This window comes from Homo sapiens, chromosome 19, assembly GCF_000001405.40.
Source record: "Homo sapiens chromosome 19, GRCh38.p14 Primary Assembly".
Classification (NCBI taxonomy): Eukaryota; Metazoa; Chordata; class Mammalia; order Primates; family Hominidae; genus Homo; species Homo sapiens.
Window position 1 is genome coordinate 48,968,130 of NC_000019.10, and position 20,893 is coordinate 48,989,022.

General features: G+C 51.3%; 1 protein-coding gene across 3 annotated transcripts in view, besides 6 other annotated features; it reads right to left on the minus strand.

The window, feature by feature from the left end:
• Positions 1 to 20,893, minus strand: part of GYS1 (glycogen synthase 1) — a 25,180-nt gene continuing 4,287 nt past the window's right edge. For 2 of the 3 annotated variants that reach the window (NR_027763.2, NM_002103.5), the window contains 14 exons: positions 19,065 to 19,256; positions 17,721 to 17,906; positions 17,332 to 17,476; positions 14,591 to 14,708; positions 14,126 to 14,246; positions 13,401 to 13,507; positions 9,969 to 10,028; positions 9,795 to 9,873; positions 6,491 to 6,604; positions 6,084 to 6,210; positions 2,799 to 2,894; positions 2,417 to 2,580; positions 1,646 to 1,726; positions 1 to 1,482 (listed from right to left, as the gene is read on the minus strand). Coding sequence is in view for 2 of the 3 variants with exons in the window: in NM_002103.5 (NP_002094.2) it covers positions 1,159 to 1,482; positions 1,646 to 1,726; positions 2,417 to 2,580; positions 2,799 to 2,894; positions 6,084 to 6,210; positions 6,491 to 6,604; positions 9,795 to 9,873; positions 9,969 to 10,028; positions 13,401 to 13,507; positions 14,126 to 14,246; positions 14,591 to 14,708; positions 17,332 to 17,476; positions 17,721 to 17,906; positions 19,065 to 19,256 (1,914 nt within the window). In the remaining variant the exon portion in view is untranslated. The remainder of the gene's footprint in view (positions 1,483 to 1,645; positions 1,727 to 2,416; positions 2,581 to 2,798; positions 2,895 to 6,083; positions 6,211 to 6,490; positions 6,605 to 9,794; positions 9,874 to 9,968; positions 10,029 to 13,400; positions 13,508 to 14,125; positions 14,247 to 14,590; positions 14,709 to 17,331; positions 17,477 to 17,720; positions 17,907 to 19,064; positions 19,257 to 20,893) is intronic. The other variant, NM_001161587.2, reaches the window with a different exon arrangement.
• Positions 200 to 429: an enhancer, noted in NCBI's record as "active region_14920". NCBI's record gives its function as "activates an Ori minimal core promoter by ATAC-STARR-seq in GM12878 lymphoblastoid cells {active_cell/tissue: GM12878}" and the evidence as "EXISTENCE:reporter gene assay evidence [ECO:0000049][PMID:35858748]".
• Positions 2,195 to 2,722: an enhancer, noted in NCBI's record as "H3K4me1 hESC enhancer chr19:49473581-49474108 (GRCh37/hg19 assembly coordinates)". NCBI's record gives its function as "activates a minimal SCP1, AML or CMV promoter by ChIP-STARR-seq in naive H9 embryonic stem cells {active_cell/tissue: H9 hESC(naive)}" and the evidence as "EXISTENCE:reporter gene assay evidence [ECO:0000049][PMID:30033119]".
• Positions 2,699 to 3,219: a transcriptional cis regulatory region, noted in NCBI's record as "genic|chr19:49474085-49474605 region (GRCh37/hg19 assembly coordinates) targeted for CRISPR interference". NCBI's record gives its function as "positively regulates FTL gene expression in K562 cells {active_cell/tissue: K562}" and the evidence as "EXISTENCE:mutant phenotype evidence [ECO:0000015][PMID:31784727]".
• Positions 8,143 to 8,437: an enhancer, noted in NCBI's record as "tiled region #1809; HepG2 Activating non-DNase unmatched - State 12:CtcfO, and K562 Activating DNase unmatched - State 5:Enh". NCBI's record gives its function as "activates a minimal TATA promoter and a strong SV40 promoter by Sharpr-MPRA in HepG2 and K562 cells {active_cell/tissue: HepG2 | K562}" and the evidence as "EXISTENCE:reporter gene assay evidence [ECO:0000049][PMID:27701403]".
• Positions 10,833 to 11,072: an enhancer, noted in NCBI's record as "active region_14921". NCBI's record gives its function as "activates an Ori minimal core promoter by ATAC-STARR-seq in GM12878 lymphoblastoid cells {active_cell/tissue: GM12878}" and the evidence as "EXISTENCE:reporter gene assay evidence [ECO:0000049][PMID:35858748]".
• Positions 20,323 to 20,505: a silencer, noted in NCBI's record as "fragment chr19:49491709-49491891 (GRCh37/hg19 assembly coordinates)". NCBI's record gives its function as "represses an EF-1alpha promoter that drives an FKBP-Casp9 reporter gene in an ReSE screen in K562 erythroleukemia cells {active_cell/tissue: K562}" and the evidence as "EXISTENCE:reporter gene assay evidence [ECO:0000049][PMID:32094911]".

Here is a 20,893-nt window from a genome sequence, read left to right on the forward strand (position 1 = left end):
TTCTTAAATATAGATGTATTTTTTTCATCTCATCTCCGGACACACTCCAATCACACCCCTCCTGCCCTCCCCTCTCAACTGCAAACCAAGCGGTGCAGACACAGCACAGCACACATGAGGGGCCCTCCCTTTCACCAAAGCTGAAGGCAGGGCACAGTTTGGGGATGGAAGAGCCTCGAGGTAAATGTGGGGGTTCTAGAACCCAGTGACCTCAGTTCTGGATCATGGGAAAGGGATCAGTATGCAGTAACGTGGTAAGGTTCCAGATCTAGAAGCCAGGACCTAGAACCTAGTGGTTTCACAGTGGGCAGAGCAGTTGGGAATAAGCCAGGTTAGGGGTGGGGGAAGACAGCCAGCTCTGTCCTCTGCAGGCGGATTCCCTGGAGGGAGATCTCAGATTTAGAAAGGAAGAGTAGGATCTGGTCCAGAAAGGGCCAGAAAGACAGGAAGGCATCTGGACTGAGACTGTGTGTCCTCCAGAAGGAATGAGCAGCCAAGTGGTTCTACCACCTCTTGCTTGGCCAAAGTGTAGGGGATGACAGGAGCCGGATGGAGGGATCCTCCAGGCAGAGCCTGGCTCTGACATGCCAGGGAGGGCTAGAACATCCCTCCCAGAGCCCCACTTCTGGAGTTGAAATGGAGGACCATCTGCTCTCAGTTACCTTCAAACTCTGAAAGTGCCCCGGCTCTGGACTTGATCGCCCCATTCGCAGGGACACCACGTGGTTTCCAGAACTTGGTGGCCCGCATGCCGGGCCTGAGCGTGGCCTGCTCTGTATGCTGTAGAATTTGTAAGCCACACGGGGGGCTCTAAAAGCCCCAGACCTGAAAGCACCATGCCAGGTTTCCTAAAACCTCTGGCACCACCGCAGAGTAATGGCAGATTCCTGGCCTCTGGGAAGCGGTCCAGGCCCAGGGGACTCCAGGGCGCTGATTATGCATATTCTGGAGCCAGAGAAAGGCACGGCTTTGTGGATTCTGGAGTGCAGGAACTTGGAAACTGGAGCTGGAGGGGGTGGAGTGTTTGGCGGACTGGGTGGGGGCACTGCGGGGCCACACCCAGTGCAGATCTGGAGCGGGGGTTTAGGAGCAGCACCCCTCTGCATCCTCTCTCTGGAGCAGAGAGGCAGGACAGGCGGGGAGTGTGGTGGGGCGGACTTAGTTACGCTCCTCGCCCAGGGAGCTGGTGGGGCTGAGGGGCTCGCTCGGGGTGCTGAGTGAGCTGGAGGTGGCCGTGTCCACAGAGTTGCGCTTGCTGCCGCTGGTGGAGGAGGTGCAGGACGCTCGGCGCGGCCACTCTGGTGCACGGATGTTGCGCCGGTCCTTGGCGGCCTCCTCGTCCTCATCGTAGCGCTCGCCGTCTTCCTCCAGCGGCCCGTTCCGGGGATCCTCCTCGTCCTCACTCTGGTGCGGGCTGGAGTGTCGTGACAGCGAGGGCGACGGTGGCACCGAGGCTGGCCGTGGGTAGCGGTACCCCTGGGCCTGCATACGGCGATGTGGGTGCAAACCAGGGTGAGCTGAGGACCTCACAGTCCCACCCAGGCATCCAGCCACCTCTAGGCCTTCCCACTCCAGGAGGGACCCCCACCCCACCGAAGCCCAGCCCTTTAGCTCCTGGCTAAGCAGAAATCCAGGGTCCACTCACCGCATCCGCCTCGTTGGGCTCGTAGGTGAAGTGCTCTGGAAAGGCCTTGGACAGCGCCATGTGGCGCGCAGACATATAGTACTAGGGGAAAGGAGGAGAGGGGGCAGAGGATGTGAGAGCCAGGCCCCACCCCCAGGCAGATGATGGGGGTCTTGGCCACACCCTTTATGCAGATGAGCACACTGCTGCACCCCATACAAATAATCCATCTATCTGACTCCACCCCTTATGTAGATAAGCAGACCTGTGAATGGACAGTTTCTGAGCCATACCCCTCAAACAGGGGCCGAATTCTCAAGTGAGTCTCCTCTTTGGCCACACCCTTATGCAAATGAGAACGCCTGACCAATGTTCTTTTTTTCTTTTTAAACACGGTCTTGTTCTGTTACTCTAGGATGGAGTGCAGTGGGTTTGAACAAGGCTCACTGCAGCCTCAACCTCCGGGGCTCAAGCGACCCTACCACCTCAGCCTCCCCAGTAGCTGGGACTACAGGCACGCACCATCACGCTCGGCTGATTTTTTTTTATTTTTAGTAAAAATAAAATGTTGCCCAGGCTGGTCTCTTAACTCCTGAGCTCATGCGATCCTTCCTGTTAGGCCTCCCAAAGTGCTGGGATTACAACCATGAGCCACCATCGCGATCGGCCTGGTTCATTGCTTAAAGGGACAGCAACTGTTACAAGTAGGATGAGACCCTGCACCCTGCACCAAAGACCCCTAGCCAGGAGCTGCTGATTTGCCAGGAGAGGATAGGAAAGTGGGGGTCCTACCCGGCCTAGGTATTTCCAGTCCAGAAGGTCGGAGAGGCGCTCCGTGCGGTTCCGCTGGATGATACGCTGCCGCCGGCTCTGCTGACAGAAACTGTAGAGGAAGGAGGTGAGCTGCGAGCAGGAATCATCCAGGCTGCGGAACCGCCGGTCAAGAATGTAGATACCTGTGGAGGCCAGGACCCAGGTTCAGAAAACATCCTGGGGAGATCTTCATGGTCTCCAGGACTCTGTGGCACCAGGACCCCTCCTCTCCCAGCGGCCCGAGAGCCCCCCCATTTCCTGGTGCCCCTGGTCTCCAAGGGTGCAAGCTCCTCCTTCCCAGGATCCAGGAGTCACTGTTCTCAAGCCCCCTTCCAGAATCCTCAGGGGCCTGGGCGCTGACCGTAAGCTGAGGGGTCTGCGATGTGTTCCTCCATGAAGCAGCCGAAGCCGGAGAGATTGGTGGAGATACTGGGGATTCCCATAACCGTGCACTCAGCTGCGGGAAGGCAGGAGAGAGACCCACTTAGCTTCCCTCATCGCCTACCGTCTTAATCGCAATAGACGCCTCAACACCGCCCTCTACTGGCGCCTGTACCAAGTGCCAGGCGCTGTGCGGAGCGTCGCTGAGCCCCCACAACCAGGCTGTGCATTTCCCTATTTCTCAGAGGGGACGCTAAGAGGCTCAGAAAAGAGAATTACTTGCTCTTGCTCCAAGATGCGGGAAAGTCCATAGTTGGGAGATAAGGATGCTAATTTATTGAGCATCCCAATATCCATTTGACTTAACTCTCACAACCTGTAGGATCGGGCCAAGGTCCATCATTCTACTTAATTGTCACAACCTGTAAGATCCTTTCTTGTGCCAGTATCTTGTACGGACTTAGTCTATTTTGATGGGGGGTAAGATAAGGTCTCTCATTATTAGTATCCCTGTGTACAGAGCATCTAGTACGTCTTGTTTAATACCTTTAACAACCTTGAGAAATAGTTCAAGGAATGTATTATAATTTTTTGATGGATTTTTATGCTTTTTTTTTTTTCTTTCGAGACAGGGTCTCACTCTGTCACCCAAGCTGTAGTGCAGTGGCACAATCTCGGCTCACTGCAACCTTCACCTCCCGGGTTCAAGCGATTTTCGTGCCTTAGCCACCCGAGTAGCTGGGACTACAGGCACACACCACCATGCCCAGTTAATTATTGTATTTTTTAGTATAGACAGGGTTTCACCATGTTGGCCAGGCAGGTCTTGAACTCCTGACCTCAGGTGATCCATCCGTCTTGGCTTCCCAAAGTGGTCAAATTATAGGTGTGAGCCACTGCGCCTGGCCCAATGCTTTTTTTTTTTTTTTCTCGAGACAAGGTCTCACTTTATCACCCAACCTGGAGGACAGTGGCTTGATCATAGCTCACTGCAGCCTTGACCTCCTAGGCTCAAGCAATCCTCCCACCTCAGCCACCCAAGAGGCTGGGACTACGAGCACACAACACTACGCATGGCTAATTAAAAATAAAAAAAAAAAAGGCCGGGCACGGTGGCTCATGTCTGTAATCCCAGCACTTTGGGAGGCCAAGGCGGGTGGATCACGAGGTCAAGAAGAGAAAAAAAAAAAAACCATCCTGGCCAACATGGTGAAACCCTGTGTCTAATAAAAATACAAAAATTAGCTGGGTGTGGTGGCAGGCGCCTATAGTCCCAGCTACTCTGGAGGCTGAGGCAGGAGAATCACTTGAACCCGGGAGGCGGTTGCAGTGAGCCAAGACTGTGCCACTGCACTCCAGCCTGGCAATAGAGCAAGACTCTGTCTCAAAAAAAAAAAAAAATCTTTTATAGAGACAGGGTCTCACCATGTTGTCCAGGCTGGTCTTGAACTCCTGAGCTCAAGCTATCCTCCCACCTCAGCCTTCCAAGATGCTAGGATTATAGGTGTGAGCCACTGCCCCTGACCTATAATTATTATTATTATTATTTTAGACAGGGTCTGACTCTGTCGCCCAGGCTGGAGTGCAGTGGCGCGATCTCAGCTCACTGCAATCTCTGCCTCTGGGGTTCAAACGATTCTCCCACCTCAACTTCCCGAAGGGCTGGGATTACAGGTGCCTGCCACCACCCCCAGCTAATTTTTGTATTTGTAGTAGAGATAGGGTTTCACCATGTTGGCCAGGCTGGTCTCAAACTCATGTCCTCAAGTGATCCTCCCACCTCGGCCTCCCAAAGTGTGGGGATTATAGGCGTGAGCCACCATGCCTGGCCTGATCTATAATTCTTATGTAAGTTTTCCTAAAAACATCTGTAAACTGCAAAAATAGGCACTAAATATAATACATCTGTCAGGCATGGTGGGATGCACCTATAATGACAGATACTCAAGAGGCTGAGGCAGAAGCACCTGAACCTAGGAGTTCCAGGTGAGCCTTGGCAACAGAGTAATAACCCCATCTCAAAAAAGAAACAAATAGTAAAATGTATTAAATATATATTTATGATATAGTTTGACTCTGTGTTCCCCCCCAAATTTCATCTCAAAATGTAGTCCCCACGTGTCGAGGGAGGGAAATGATTGGATTACGGGGGTGGTTCCCCCGCCGCTGTTCTCATGATAGTGAGTGAATTCTCACGAGATCTCATGGTTTTATAAATGTTCGTTTTTCCTGCACCCTCACATACTTCTCCCTCCTGCCGCCATGAGAAGAAGCTTCTTTCTTCCCCTTCTGCCATGACTGAGTTTTCTGAGGCCTCTCCAGACATGTGGAACGGTGAGTCAATTACACCTCTTTCCGTTATAAATTACCCAGTCTTGGATTTTTTTTTTATAGCGGTGTGAAAACAGACTAGTACTATCTATCAATCTATCTATAAAACAAGGCCTATGGAAAAAGGGAATTGGGGCTGACCGCGACTCCTAATTATCATGCAAGCACAGTTTGCAGGACTTGTTAAATTACTAATAAATTAGGAAATGGCACTAATTTAGCTTTAATTTTTTTTTTTTTTTTTTTTTGAGACGGAGTCTCGCTCTGTCACCCAGAGCACAGCACTGCCGGAGTGCAGTGGCATGATCTCAGCTCACTGCAACCTCCGCCTCCCAAGTTCAAGCAATTCTCTGCCTCAGCCTCCCAAGTAGCTGAGACTACAGGTGCGTACCACCACACCTGGCTAATTTTTGTATTTTTAGTAGAGACAGGGTTTCACTATATTGGCCAGGCTGGTCTCAAACTCCTGACCTCATGATCTGCCCATCTTGGCCTCCCCAAGTGCTGGGATTACAGGCATGAGCCACCACGCCCAGCCTTATTTAGCTTTAAAAACACTGGCTAATGTGAACCAACAAGAGGAAGGTGGAGTTGATGGGCACTGGGAACGTCTTACGAGGAGACTTGGCCACACTCGGCTGTATTTGTGAATTGTGCATTTCATTGCCACTATTTGGGGGGCCACTGCTTTCTGGGAGAAAGCAGTGTGAACTGTGACATCCAGTTCACTAGTCCTCAAAACCCAGTCTTCTAGTTTCTCAATACATGAGCTATTGTATCACAAAAGCACGCGCTGTAGCAGAACAGGTGATTACCATTGTTCCTGTTTTGCAAAGAAGGCAACAGGCTCAGAGAAGGCCAGTGCCTCGCCCCAAGACATGCTAGCTCTGACTAGGATGCCATGACCACGCTGTCCCCTGCCCACTACACTCACCCGGTGTGTAGCCCCAAGGCTCATAGTAGGAGGGGAAGACTCCAAGGTGACAGCCACGGACAAACTCCTCATAGTCCACAGGGAGCAGGGGGCTTGTGGAGGAGAGGAACTCCGGGTGGAAAATCACCTGGTAGTGAAAAAGAAGGACTCAGCCCAAGTGCCTTATTTAGCTAAGCCCTGAGATCCCAAGGTGGCCCAGAGAGGGTAAAAAGCTTGTCTAGCATCACACAGCATGTGTTTGGCAGGACCAATGTTCAAACCCAGGTCTGCCTGCCTCAGAAGCCAGGGTTCTTTCTAACCACAGCAATACCTTTGATAAAACTTATAGGGGAATGGAGTGTGTGAGGCCCAGGACCCAACCCCTTCCCTCTGCCGTGCCCAACCCAGCCCTGACCAAATGCCCTCACCTTCACCCTGTCGGCACTGCTATTGAAGAGGCCGATTCGGCGGATGGTGGTCAGGATGGGGTCTGAGGAGTCATCCAGCATATTGTGGGTGCACACAGGGGGGAAAGACTGCCGCTGCAGGAGCCACAAGAAGGGTAAGGGGTCATGGAAGGGACAGAGAACTCCCTACTTCCTCATGAGCCATGCGGACCCTGGGGGAGCCAAGGAGACCACAAATGCACCGGACGTGGGGCAACAAACCCAAGTGATCACCAGGAGTTGTGGATTCCCACTAGTACAACCTGTAAAGGTTTTCTTTCTTTTCTTTTAAATTATTATTATTTATTTTTGAGGCGGAGTCTCGCTCTGTCGCCCAGGCTGGAATGCAGTGGCACAATCTCGGCTCACTGCAAGCTCCACCTCCCAGGATCATGCCATTCTCCTGCCTCAGCCTCCCGAGTAGCTGGAACTACAGGCGCCTACCACCACGCCCGGTTAATTTTTTGTATTTTTAGTAGAGACGAGGTTTCACTGTGTTAAATCAGGATGGTCTAGATCTCCTGACCTCGTGATCCACCTGCCTTGGCCTCCCAAAGTGCTGGGATTACAGGCGTGAGCCATTGCGCTCAGCCTAATTTTTTTTTTTTTTTTTTTTAATAGAGATGGGGTTTCACTATGTTGGCCAAGTTGGTCTCGAACTCATGGGCTCAAGCGATGCATCCGTTTTGGCCTCCCGAAGTGCTGGGATTACAGACATGAGCCACCACACCTGGCCTGGAAATGTTTTCCTTCCCTTAACCACCATGAGCTTCAAAGAACTAGAATTCCCAGCTGTCTTTGAGGCAAAGCCGTGTTAGCAACTCCCTTACCTCCAAGGACTATGAGGAGTTGCAGCTACCTTGTTCTGTACTCTGGGCTCTATTATTAAAGAAACCCAAAGGAAATATAACTATCCCCAGTCAATGGGGGTGGAGACTGTGCCAATATGGCAGCAAGCTTTGGAGACTGCTGGGAGTTGTAGTTTCCTTATGAAAATTCACTTCCAACCACCAGGCGTGGTGGCTCACGCCTGTAATCCCAGCACTCTGGGAGGCCGAGGCAGGAGGATGACGAGGTCAGGAGATCGAGACCATCCTGGCTAACACGGTGAAACCCCGTCTCTACTAAAAATACAAAAAATTAGCCAGGCGTGGTGGTGGGTGCCTCAGGAGGCTGGGGCAGGAGAACGGCATGAATCCGGGAGGCGGAGGTTGAAGTGAGCCAAGATCGCGCCACTGCACTCCAGCCTGGGCGACAGAGCGAGACTCCGTCTCAAAAAAAAAAAAAAAAAAAAAAAAGAAGAAAAAAGAAAATTCACCTCCAACCCTAACAAAGGCCCAAAGAAACCACAATTTCCAAGAGTCTCTGGAGCAAGACAGAGCTAGTGTGATAGGAAGTCCTGAGGACTGCTGGGGTGTATAGTTCTTAGCAACTGTTCCATCATAGCTCATTAAAGATTTTACTTACCACCACTCTACTGAGTCTAGGGGCCCGAGAAACTACAACTCCCAGCATCCCGATGGCAGAAACATTCATAATGAGGTGGGCTGCTTTAGGGACTATTGGAAATTATAGGTTAGCCAAAAGCAGTTCACGTTTTGTTTCTACAACTTAGCTGTCTGGGTTTCCATTCCCCAGGAAATGGCTCCCCAATGTAGACCACAAGTACTGAAGTCCCTGGACCCCAGAGAATGAAAGAACTCTAACTCCCAGAAGCCTCTGGACAAGGGAAGCGTCAATGCCCCAGAAAGCCAGCAGGGGCTGCTGGGAGTTGTAGTTTTTTGGGCCCCTAGACTCAATAGAATGACGGTAAGTTCTCATTTTATAAATGCCAATTCTCTCTGAAGTTAGGGATCTAAAGCAGCTACAATTCCCAGGGGTGTCTGGGGACCAACACACAGCCTCTGGAAATAAGAAACCGCAGCTGCTGAGAGTTTGCAATGTTTTCTGGAGAATGCTGGGTGCTTTTGCTCACCTCCTGACTGCGTCCCTAAAGTGGCCCGATAAAACTACCACTCCCAGCAGTTTTAGGGGTAGAGGTGGAGCCGTGTGCAGCAAGGCCCAAGGAGAGCTGAGAGTTGTAATTCTTTTATGGCTGTCTTGACCTTTTCTTTTCTTTCTTTTCCTTCTTTCGTGTGTGTGTGTATGTGTCCGCCTCGCTCTGTTGCCCAGTCTGGAGTGCAGTGGCATAATCATAGCTCACTGCAGCGGCATAATCATAGCTCACTGCAGCCTTGACCTCCTGAGCTCAAGGCATCCTCTGGCCTCAGCCTCCCAGGTAGCTGGGATAACAGGTGTATGCCACTATGCCCAGCTCATTTTTGTATTTTTGGTAGAGACAGGGTTTCATCATGTTGCCCAGGCTGGTCTCAAACTCCTGGGCTCAAGCGATCCTCCCACCTCAGCCTCCCAAAGTGCTGGGAATACTGACAGGTGTGAGCTACCAAGCTGGGCCTTGACTTTCTTTTGGGGGTGGGTGGGGGGCTAGTGTGGGATCTGGCTCTGTCCCCCAGGCTGGTGTACAGTGGCACAGTCATGGCTCACTGCAGCCTCAGCCTCCTGGTCTCAAGTGATCTTCCTGCTTTGGCCTCTCAAAGTGCTGAGATTACAGGCATGAGCCACCACACCTGGCCCTTTATTACATTTCTACACTTCCTTTTAAACTTCCCTTTGGGCTGGGAACAGGGACTCACGCTTGTAAACTCAGCACTTTGGGAGGCTGAGGCAGACAGAACACTTGAGGTCAGGAGCTTGAGACTGGCCTGGCCAACATGGTGAAATCTCGTTTCTACTAAAAATATATAAATTAGCTGGGTGTGGTGGCATGTGCCTGTAATCCCAGGTACTTGGGAGGCCAAGGCAGGAGTATTGCTTGAACCCAGGAGGCAGAGGTTGCAGTGAGCCGAGATCGTGCCACTGCACTCCAGCCTGGGCGACAGAGCGAGACTCCATCTCAAAATAAATAAATAAATATAATAAAAATAAATAAACAAATAAGCTTCCTTTTGCTCATTGACCCCAGAATCCCAGAGAAACCACACGTCCCAGCAACCCTCGTGGCAGAATAAGCCACAGAAAACAGCCCACCCTAAGTGCCTCGCCTCCAGCAACTGAAGTTGCACGAGTCAGCACGTGCCCTTCTGTGGACCTCAGAATAGATCCCTTCATAAAGGGCTGCAGGAGAAAGCAGGACTCCCAGCAATCTCTGGGGTCTGAGCTGGCCTGGCAAGCTGCCTCTGGGGCTGCCAGGAACTGCTATCTCTCTGCACAGAGGTCCAATCCATACCTGCGTTGCAAAGATGGCTCTCTTCATCATAGTGAAGTCTTCCTTATCCAGCATCTTGTTCATGTCGGGAAGGCTCCCACTGCAAGGCAAGCAGGGGCATGCATGTGAGAACGGAGTAATGAGAGGGGTTAGTCAGGGCCTAGGAGGGCACAGGGCTGAGGGTGGGGCACTCACACCAGTAAGGATTCATAAAGCTTCCTCCCGAACTTTTCCTTCACCGTGTTGGCCGTGTCCCTGGAGGAAGCAGAGCAACAGGGTCACATACACACCAGCTGCCATTTACTGTTAGGCTTCTTTAGTTAGTTTGTTTGTTTATTTTGAGACGGAGTTTGGCTCTTGTTGCCCAGGCTGGAATGCAATGGCGTGATCTCGGCTCACTGCAACCTCTGCCTCCCAGGTTCAAGCAATTCTCCTGCCTCAGCCTCCCGAGTAGCTGGGATTACAGGCATGAGCCACCGCGCCCGGCTAATTTTCTATTTTTAGTAGAGACGGGGTTTCTCCATGTTGGTCAGGCTGGTCTCAAACTCCCAACCTCAGGTAATCTGCCCACCTCGGCCTCCCAAAGTACTGGGATTAGAGGCTTGAGCCACTGTGCCCAGCAGTTTATTTATTATTATTATTATTATTATTGACAGAGTTACTCTGTCGTCCAGGCTGGAGCGCAGTGGTGCGATCTTGGCTCACTGCAACCTCTGCCTCTCAGGTTCAAGCAATTCTCCTGCCTCAGCCTCCTGAGTAGCCGGGATTACAGGCACCTGCCACCATGCCCGGCTAATTTTTGTAACTTTAGTAGAGACGGGGTTTCACCACGTTGGCCAGGCTGGTCTCGAACTCCTGACCTCTGGCTGGTAATTGGCCACCTCGGCCTCCCAAAGTGCTGGAATTACAGGCATGAGCTGCCGCGCCCAGCTACCCTTAGGTTTCTAGGATAGCAAGGAAACTGAGGTGTGAGCAGGGAAGCCGTGCCCTGGGGCCTCCAGGCTGGAGGATGGGGACCCAGGGGGCAGGCCCTGGAAGGCTTAGGACCCACGTGCCTGACATCAGCTGTGTGGTCAGGGACAGGTGGCCTTCCCTCTCTGACTGCAGTGACTCATTTTTCAGAGGAGGATGAAAATAGAATCAACCTCAGAGGTTTGCGATGAGGACCCAATGATGTCATGCCAAAAAGTACACATGGCAAGCCTTCCAGAAATGTCAGCTATTATTAGGACTTGTACTTGTCCTGCAGATGGCAATGCTAAGCCCCATTTTATACGAAAAGAAAGTAAGATTCTGAGAAAGGACCACTTAGGCACACAAGTAAAGCTAGCAGTGTCACACAACAGCCCCACGGTCACTCCTCCACTTAAAATCCTCCCATAGCTCTGGCCTCATTTATTTTTCTTTCTTTGTCTCTTTTTCTTTTTTCTTTTCTTTTTTTTTTTTTTTTTTTTTTTTTTTTTTTTTTTTTTTTTGAGACAGAGTCTTGCTCTGTCGCCCAGGATGGCGCAATCTCGGCCACTTTCTAGGTTCAAGAAATTCTCCTGCCTCAGCCTCCTGAGTAGCTGCAATTACAAGCGTGCGCCACCACATCTGGCTAATTTTTATATTTTTAGTACCGATGGGATTTCACCACGTTGACCAGGCTGATCTCGAACTCCTGACCTCAAGTGATCTGCCCTCCTCAGCCTCCCAAAGTGCTGGGATTACAGGTGTGAGCCACCGCGCCCAGCCTCTTTCTTTCTTTTTTTTTTTTTTTTTTTTGAGACCGAGTCTCACTGTCACCCATGCTGGAGTGCATTGGCGCGATCTTGGCTCACTGCAATCTCTGCCTCCCGGGTTCGAGCGATTCTCCTGCTTAGCCTCTCGAGTAGCTAGGACTACAGATGTGTGTCACCACGCCCTGCTGATTTTTTTTATTTTTAGGAAAGACGGGGTTTCACCATGTTGGTCAAGCTGGTCTCAAACTCCCGACCTCAGGTGATCCACCCGCCTCGGCCTCCCAAAGTGCCGGGATTACAGGTGTGAGCCACCACGCCCGACTTCTTTTTTATTTTTTTGAGACAGAGTCTCACTCTGTTGCCTAGGCTGGAGTGCAGTGGCGCAATCATGCCTCACTACAGCCTCAACCTCCAGGGCCAAAATGATCCTCCTGCCTCCTGTAGCTGGCACTACAGGTGCCCTCCATCTTGCCTCACTTTCTACCCCTTCTCTATGAGACATGTCACTCCAGCCCCATGGGACTCCCCACCGCGTCTCAATCATGCCTCGGGGCCTTCGAGTTTGCTGTTCCTCAGATACCCACAGGGCTTGCTCCCTCGTCACCTTTCCTCGTCTCTGCCCAATAACACTTTCTCAGTGTGGCCTGTCCTGACAACCCCGTCTCATATTCCAGTTCTGCTTTATTTTTGCCCAAAAGTAAATTCCGTCTACAGGATTTTCTAGAATACAAGCTCCATGAGGAAAGGGATCTTATCTTTCTGGTTCACAGCTGTATTCCCAGGACCTGGAATACATGAGGAGGGCAGGTCACTTGAGGTCAGGAGTTCAAGACCAGCCTGGTCAACGTGGTGAAATCCCATCGGTGCTAAAAATATAAAAATTAGCTAGCACATAGTAGATGCTCAGTGAGTATCTCTGCTAATGAATGAACGGTTTTACAGATGAAGAAACTGAGCTTTGCTGGGAGGCGGAGGTTACAGTGAGCTGAGATTACGCCACTGCACTCCAGCCTGGGCAACAGTGAGACTCTGTTTCAAAAAAAAAAAAAAATCAGAGAAAAGAAAAAGAAACTAAGCCAGGCGCAGTGGCTCACCCCTGTAATCCCAGCACTTTGGGATGCCAAGGCGGCTGGATCACCTGAGGTCAGGTGTTCAAGATCAGCCTGGCCAACATGGTGAAACCCCATCTCTACTAAAAATACAAAAAAAGGCTAGGTGTGGTGGCTCACGCCTGGAATCCCAGCACTTTGGGAGGCTGAGGCAGGCGGAACACCTGAGGTCAGGAGTTCAAGACCAGCCTGGCCAATATAGTGAAAACCTGTCTCTAATAAAAATAAAAAGTTAGCCAGGTGTGGTGGCACACCCCTGTAGTCCCAGCTACTCAGAGGCTGAGGCAGGAAAATCGCTTGAACCCAGGAGGCAGAGGTTGCAGTGAGCCGAGATCATGCCATTGCACTCCAGCTTGGGCGACAGAGCAAAACTCCATCTCAAAATAAAAAAAAAAAAGAGGGCCGGGTGCGGTGGCTCATGCCTGTAATTCCAGCACTTTGGGAGGCTGAGGCGGGCAGATCACGAGATCAGGAGTTTGAGACTAGTCTGGCCAATGTGGTGAAACCCCATCTCTACTGAAAATACAAAAATTAGCCAGGCATGGTGGTGTGCACCTGTAGTCCCAGCTACTCGAGAGGCTGAGGCAGATGACTTGCTTGAACCCAGGAGGTGGAGGTTGCAGTGAGCCAAGATCGCACCACTACACTCCAGCCTGGGCGACAGAGTGAGACTGTCTCAAAAACAAACAAACAAACAAACAAACAAAACAAAAAACTGAGACTCTAGGAGAAACACAGGACCCAAAGCATGCATCTGGGAGTGGGCTGCGCCAGGGGCCGGAGCGAGGGCTGCTAACCAAAGCTGTTTGCGCACAGCTTGGCCTTTGAGGGTTTCCACGTTGAAATTGTTGGTCCGCGCTGGCATGATGAAGAAGGCAACCACTGTCTGCTCGCTGCCGTTCACCTGCGCAGAAAGAAAGGAGGGGGAGGCCAGGATCATGTGGGGGAAGCCTGGAACCAGCCAGCCTTTCTGTCAAGACCACTGGGATCCTGCCATACCCATTCCTGTCAAGGAGAATTATAGGACAGTCCCCACCTGGACTCTGACCTTCTTTCTGGGTCTCTATACTCCCCTCACGGCCCCCCACCATACTCAGGGGCTTTCCTACCCCCATCTTCCTGGCTTCTTGGGTTTCTGTTCTGTAATTTTTTGTTTTGTTTTGTTTTGTTTTGTTTTTGAGACAGCGTCTTTTTCTGTCGCCCAGGCTGGAGTGCAGTGATATGATCTTGGCTCACTGCAACCTCCACCTCCCGGGCTCGCGTGATCCTCCCCGTTCACCCTCCCGAGTAGCTGGGACTACACGTGTGAGCCACCATGCCTGGCTAATTTTTGTATTTTTTGTAGAGATGGGGTTTCACCATGTTGCCCAGGCTGGTCTCCATCTCCTGGGCTCAAGTGATCCTCCCGCCTTGGCCTCCAAAAGTGTTGGGATTACAGGTGTGAGCCACTGTGCCTGGCTGTTCTCCCTAGTTATAAACTGCTTTGCTTGCCCTCCCTGTCCCCTCATAGCCCAGGCCTCACTCTGAGCAGATAGTTGAGCCGAGCCAATGCCTCCAGGAAGACGTCAGCACCCTTGTTGGAGAACTCATAGCGGCCGGCGATAAAGAAGTATAAGGTCTTGTCCAAGTTGAAGTCCAGATGCCTAAAGAACCCACAAGGCACGGTAAAGCCCAAAGCCCTCACCCGCTAGCCCTGGCCTCAAAACTACAAATCCCAGAAGCTATGGGTGGGGGGGCAGAGGATGTCTTAGGTAATACAGAGGCATCACGGGGCCTCCTGGGAGTTGTAGTTCTTCTCTTTAGATGGAGATTTCCTTTAATCCTGAGCCCATTGTTCCAGCGCTCAAGAATTAAGGAGGCCGAATACCCAGGTGCCCCCTCCCTCAGACCCAGGAGTCTGGGCCCCCAGCTGCCCCCTCCCCCAGACCTAGATGGTTAGGCTCCCAACGCCCTCCTCTCTTAAGACCTAGGTATATGCCCCACGTACCCATAAAAATGGCCCCGCACAAACTCCTGGATTCGAGCCTTGCTCTGAGCATGGAGGTTCTGGAACTCATGCATGGCAGAAAACTTCTTCACATTCAGCCCATTGGGGGTCACAATATCTGGGATTGGGGGTGAGGGTCCCATGTTTTATTTGTTCATTCAGATCAATGTTGTGGTTGAATGAATAAATGAAGAAAACACCCTTTGCCTTTTGCAATTTTTTTGTTTCAAGAGCGTTCCTATGAGGTCCCCCCTCCCACCTTTTTTGTTTGTTTGTTTGTTTTTGGAGACAGGGTTTCTCTCTGTCGCTCAGGCTGGAGAGCAGTGGCACAATCACAGCTCATTGCATCCCTGACCTCCTGGGCTCAAGCAATCCTCCCTCCTCAGCCTCCCGAGTAGCTGGCACTACAGGCGTGCACTACCACACCCGGCTAATTTATTTATTTTACTTTTGTAGTGATGGGGTCTTGTCATGTTACCCAAGCTGATCTCAAACTCCTGGCTTCAAGCAGTCTTCCTGCCCTGGCCTCCTAAAGTGCTGGGATTACAGGTGTGAGCCACCATGCCTGGCCAGTTCCCTTGGTGACACACCTACCCTGACTCCAAGATGCCTTCTTGCCTAATATTACTTGCTTAGGTTCACAAGCACAAGTATAAGTCTCCTCAGCTACTGCAAATGGCTAACAGGGATCTGATCCACACTGGTGATTCTGGGAAAGTTGTACTTCTTTTGTTTCCTCTTAGCCCACCCTGAGATGGAAATGATTAAACATCCCCAAAGTCCTGCTTCTCCTAGGATATATCCTCTACTTCCAAGCTTCTTACAGGGACCCAATCATTTCTTCTCCTCATAGAAATTAAAGTATATCAACGAAAAACTACAACCCCCATCAGCGCCTAGGGCAAAGTTCTGGAACATATAGAGCTAACCAGTCAAAGGCCTTCTGGGAGTTGTAGTTCTCACCTTATACTCACTGAGAACGGATACTAAGGGCTGGGAAGAATGCCCAGTTCTGACCTAACCTTTCTCAAAAGCAAAGTCCACTGATCTTCCATTCCCTTTCATAAGACCAATCTACATTAGCCAATTACAGAATTTTATCATATCTGAAATTAATATGAAAGAAATTATACCTCCCATTAGCCTCCAGAGTATATAGTCAGAGAGCCTCAAATACAGGTCACCACCCCCACAGCCTTCTGGGAGCTGTAGTTCTCTATTCTTTAGGTAAAAAAATGGTAACTGATGGTCCCCAGCTTAGGACTTAGGATGGTCCAAGTTATGATTTTTCTTTTCGAGACAGAGTTTCGCTCTTGTTGCCCAGGCTGGAGTGCAATGGCACAATCTTGGCTCACGACAACCTCTGCCTCCTGGGTTCAAGAGATTCTCCTGCCTCAGCCTCCCGAGTAGCTGGGTGGCTGGGATTACAGGCGCCTGCCACCATGCCCACCTAATTTTTGTATTTTTGGCAGAGAGGGGGTCTCACAATGTTGGCCAGGCTGGTCTTGAGCACATGACCTCAGGTGATCTGCCCACCTCAGCCTTCCAAAGTGCTGGGATTACAGGTGTAAGCCACCGTGCCCAGCCAAGTTATGATTTTTCAACCTTATGATGGTGTGAAAGTTACATACATCCACATGAGTCCAATTTTGGATTTTGATGAGATATTCAACACTTTTTTTTTTTAATTTTTTGAGATGGAGTCTCGCTCTGTTGTCCAGGCTGGAGTGCAGTGGTGTGATCTCGGCCCACTGCAACCTCCGCCTCCTGGGTTCAAGTGATTCTCCTGCCTCAGCCTCCCGAGTAGCTGGGATTACAGGCACCCACCACCACGCCCGGCTAATTTTTGTATTTTTAGTAGAGATGGAGTTTCGCCATGTTGGCCAGGCTGGTCTCGATCTCCTGACCTCGTGATCTGCCCGCCTTGGCCTCCCAAAGTGTTGGGATTACAGGTGTGAGCCACTGCGCCCAGCCTATTCAACACTTTATTATAAAATAGGTTTGTATTAAAATTAGCCAGGCGTGGTGGCAGGCGCGTATAGTCCCAGCTACTTGGGAGGCTGAGGCAGGAGAATGGCATGAACCTGGGAGGCGGAGCTTACAGTGAGCCAAGATAGCGCCACTGCACTCCAGCCTGGGCGACAGAGCGAGACTCCGTCTCAAAAATAAATAAATAAATAAAAATAAAATAAAACAGATTTGTATTGGATGATTTTGCCCAGTCGTAGGCTAACATAAAGTGTTCTGGGCACATTTAAGGTATACTAGCCTAAGCTATGATGTTCAGTAGGTTAGGTGTATTAAATGCATTTTTTTATTTTTTGAGACAGGGTCTCACTGTGTCACCCAGGCTGTGACAGGGTCTCTCCAGGCCACCCAAATCATGCAATGGCACGATCACAGCTCACTGCACCCTTGACCTCCTAGGCTCGAGCAATCCTCCCACCTCAGCCTCCTGAGTAGCTAGGGATACAGGCACACACCATGTCTGGCGAATATTTTAGACAGGGATTCGCCATGTTGCCCAGGCTGGTCTCAAATTCCCGGGCTCAAGTGGTTCTCCTGCCTTGGCCTCTCAAAGTGCTGAGATTACAGGTGTGAGCCACCATGCCCAGCCGAAATACGTTTTCGGTTTATGCTATTTCAACTTACAGTGGGCTTCTTGGGCTGAGGAGCAACTGGCTTTGGCATAGACAGCTGCCTACCTCATTCACGTCTGGGGACTTCAGCCCAGCCCCTACCTGGTTTCCTCTTGAGCAAGTGCTGTGCCTCGATGGCGGTGATCTGGGACACAGTAGTGAAGACGTGAGCGCAGTGGGCTGCCGCCCTTTCCATGCAGTATCGGTGGTAGATCTGCCTCTCCCCTGCTTCCTTGTCCACGTTGAACTGGGTGGGAGGGGACAGCAGTCCGGTTAGAAGGATTGGGGAGAAGACTCTGGAGGTCCAGACACTGGGGTCCCAAGAGAAATTGGTGCTGGGGGCTGGATTCCTGGGTCTGAGGTAGGAGGGGTCTGGGGACTTGGACTCCTGGATCCTGGGAGAAGAGGGGGTGCCATCCCCTTGGGCCCCCCAGAGCTTTGGGTTTTCCTGGCATACTCGCAGTCCCCCATCTGCCACGGTCCCAGCTCACGTTCTCCAGGTTGTTGTAGAAGTCCACGGCACCGGCACACAGGTAGCGCCCCAGCAGCGTGGCATGGGTGGTGAAGATGGTTGCTACAGGCAGTCGCCGGGCACGACACAGGCAGAGTCCAACGCCTGCCAACCACTCATGGAAGTGAGCAACCACATGTGGCTTCTCCTCACTCTGTGCCAGGAACTGTGGGCAACAGGGACAGGGCCACTGTCTCCACGAGTGTTGGGAAAAGAATCGGCAATCCCCAGTAGGGACAAGGACTCGGGGAGAGGTCAATCTGTCACCACTACTGCACAGAGTGGGCAGCGGCCCACTGCAGCAATCCCAACCGGACAGGGACCTGTAAATCCCTGAGGCAGCCCAGGCTGGTCTTGAACTCCTGGGCTCAAGTGACTGCCTCCTCAGGGGTTGACAGGAACTGAGGATTTTTTGGCCAACCATCTAAGTCCTGGCAGGGTTAGATTGGACAGACTGAAGTTTTCATGTTCCCAGGTCCTGGACATAGTTTCCAAAGACCCCTTGTCTCAAGGGTACGCTGTCTGCACCCAACATTGGCAAAGGGACTACAACTCCCAGAATGCCATAGGAGCAGCCAGTTCCTCAATTATTTGTCCCAGGGCATGAGAAATTAAGCTTCTTTTTTTTTTTTTCTTTTTCTTTTTTTTTTTGAGACAGTGTCTCACTCTGTGGCCCAGGCTGGAGTGCCGTGATGCAATCTCAGCTCACTGCAATTCCCGCCTCCCAGGTTCAAGCAATTCTCCTGTCTCAGCCTCCCAAGTAGCTGGGATTTGGGATTACAGGTGCCCACCACCACACCCAGCTAATTTTTTTGTATGTTTAGTAAAGACGAGGTTTGGCCATCTTGAACTCCTGGCCTCACGTGATCTTCCCCCATCGGCCTCCCAAAGTGCTGGGATTACAGGCATGAGCCACCGTGCCCAGCCTGGAAACTAAGCTTCTTGAGCCTCTTAAAACCTAGAAGGGGGTCAAAACCAGGTCAGGCTGGGGATTCATGAGCATCCAGGGCAGCATCTGAGAGCTGAGTCCAGCAATATCACACTAGAGAACTACAACTCCTAGAATTCCTCGGGCAAGCCCGCCAGCCTCACTTTGAGGCTGATTCCAAGAATCCCTATGCTTGGAAGACTAGAGTAAATGAAGTTGGCATCGAGAGTAGAGCCTGGGCCCTTGGATGTTCATGTCCTCAAAGGCCAGAGCTAATCCTTGGATTAAAGGACCCTATGACTCCCAGAATGCCCAGGGAGAAGCCCATCCTCTGGCCCAGGGGCTGATGGTCATTGTAGTTTCAGGTATGGGTGGAATGTGTCAGACGGGGCCTACCTCACCCAGGAACCAGGTGGTCAGAAAGCCAAAGAGGACAGCGTCGTTGGCCTCGCGGTCGTACCACGGCACTCCGATGTTGCAGGTATCCCAGAGCTCTCCCTTCCAGCGCTCCAGGGCCCAAGCTGAGGCACCCACGTCCAGGAGCACCACCAGAGGGCCTCCCTCGATCAGCCAGCGCCCGAAATACACCTGGGATGGGGTTGGGGAGGCACCATAGGGAGGCTCTGGGCTTCAGCCTCATATCTTCACTCATCCGTGGTTCTCCCATTTGCAGGCAGATGTCTATAGACTTAAGCCTCAGCTCTCTTATCTTCTGTTTCCATATCTGCTGCTAATTTCTCACCTGCTGCCTTAGCCTTACTTCTCTATTTGCATGATTTATTCCTGCTACACATTTTTTCCATCTCTGTTGCAATATTTTCCGTGCCCCCTGCTTACTTTCTTTCTTTCTTTTTTTTGAGATGGAGTCTCACTCTGTGGCCCAGGCTGGAGTGCAGTGGTGCGATCTCAGCTCACTGCAACCTCTGTCTCCCGGGTTCAAGCAATTCTCCTGCCTCAGCCTCCCAAGTAGCTGGGATTACAGGCACCCGCTCCCACACCTGGCTAATTTTTTTTTTTTCTTGAGACGGAGTCTGGCTCTGTTGCCCAGGCTGGAGTGCCGTGGCATGATCTCGGCTCACTGCAACCTCTGCCTCCTGGGTTCACACCATTCTCCTGCCTCAGCCTCCCGAGTAGCTGGGACTACAGCGGCCCGCCACCACGCCCGGCTACTTTTTTTTGTATTTTCAGTAGAGACGAGGTTTCACTGTGTTAGCCAGGATGATCTCCATTTCCCGACCTTGTGATCCGCCCGCCTCGGCGTCCCAAAGTGCTGGGATTACAGGCGTGAGCCACCGCACCCAGCCTCCTGTTTAATTCCTGTAACTGCTACCCTTCTCCCACTCGCTGCCTCCTTTCTCTGCTTATAACCACATATGTCACATGTCCTGTGTCTATGCCCCCACTGCCCTGTCTGGCCACTCTGCAAATCATTTCCCCTACCTGCTGCCTTGTTTCTGTACTTGCTGCCACATTTCTCTTACCAACCATCTGCATCTCCCACTGTCTTTTCTTTCTGATGCTAATTCCTTCCACGGGATGCTTCTTTTTTGTTTTCAGACAGGGTCTCGCTCTGTTGCCCAGGCTGGAGTGCAGTGGTGTGAACATGGTTCACTATAGCCTCAACCTCCCTGGCTCAGTCAATCCTCCCACCTCACCTCCTACAGGCGTGGGCCACCATGCCAGGCTGATTTTTTAATTTTTTGTGGAGATGGGGTCTCACTATGTTGCCCAGGCTGATCGTGAACTCCTGCGTTCAAGCAGTTTTCTTGCTTAGCCTCCCAAAGTGTTGAGATTAGAAGTGTGAGCCACCTAAAGCAGGCCCTTTTTTATTTTCAGAGACGGGGTCTTGCTCTGTCCTCCAGCCTGGAAGGGAGTGGTGCAATTACGGTTCACTGAAGCTTCGATCTCCCAGGCTCAAGCAATCCTTCCACCGCAGCTTCCCACGTAGCTGGGACCACAGGCACAAGGTATCACATCCCGGCTAATTTTTAACTTTTTTGTAAGGACAGGGTTTCACCATGTTGCCCAGGCTGGTCTCAAACTCCTGGCCTCAGCCTACCAAAGTGCTGGGATTACAGGCGTGAGCTACTGCACCCAGCCTGTAATGATTCTCTTACTGTTCATGCTGCCACTTTTCTTCCCCATGATGCCTTGTTTCTGTTCCTTTCATCACATATCTGTCACCTGCGACCTCTTTCCTCTATCCATAGGCCCATTTTGTAGTC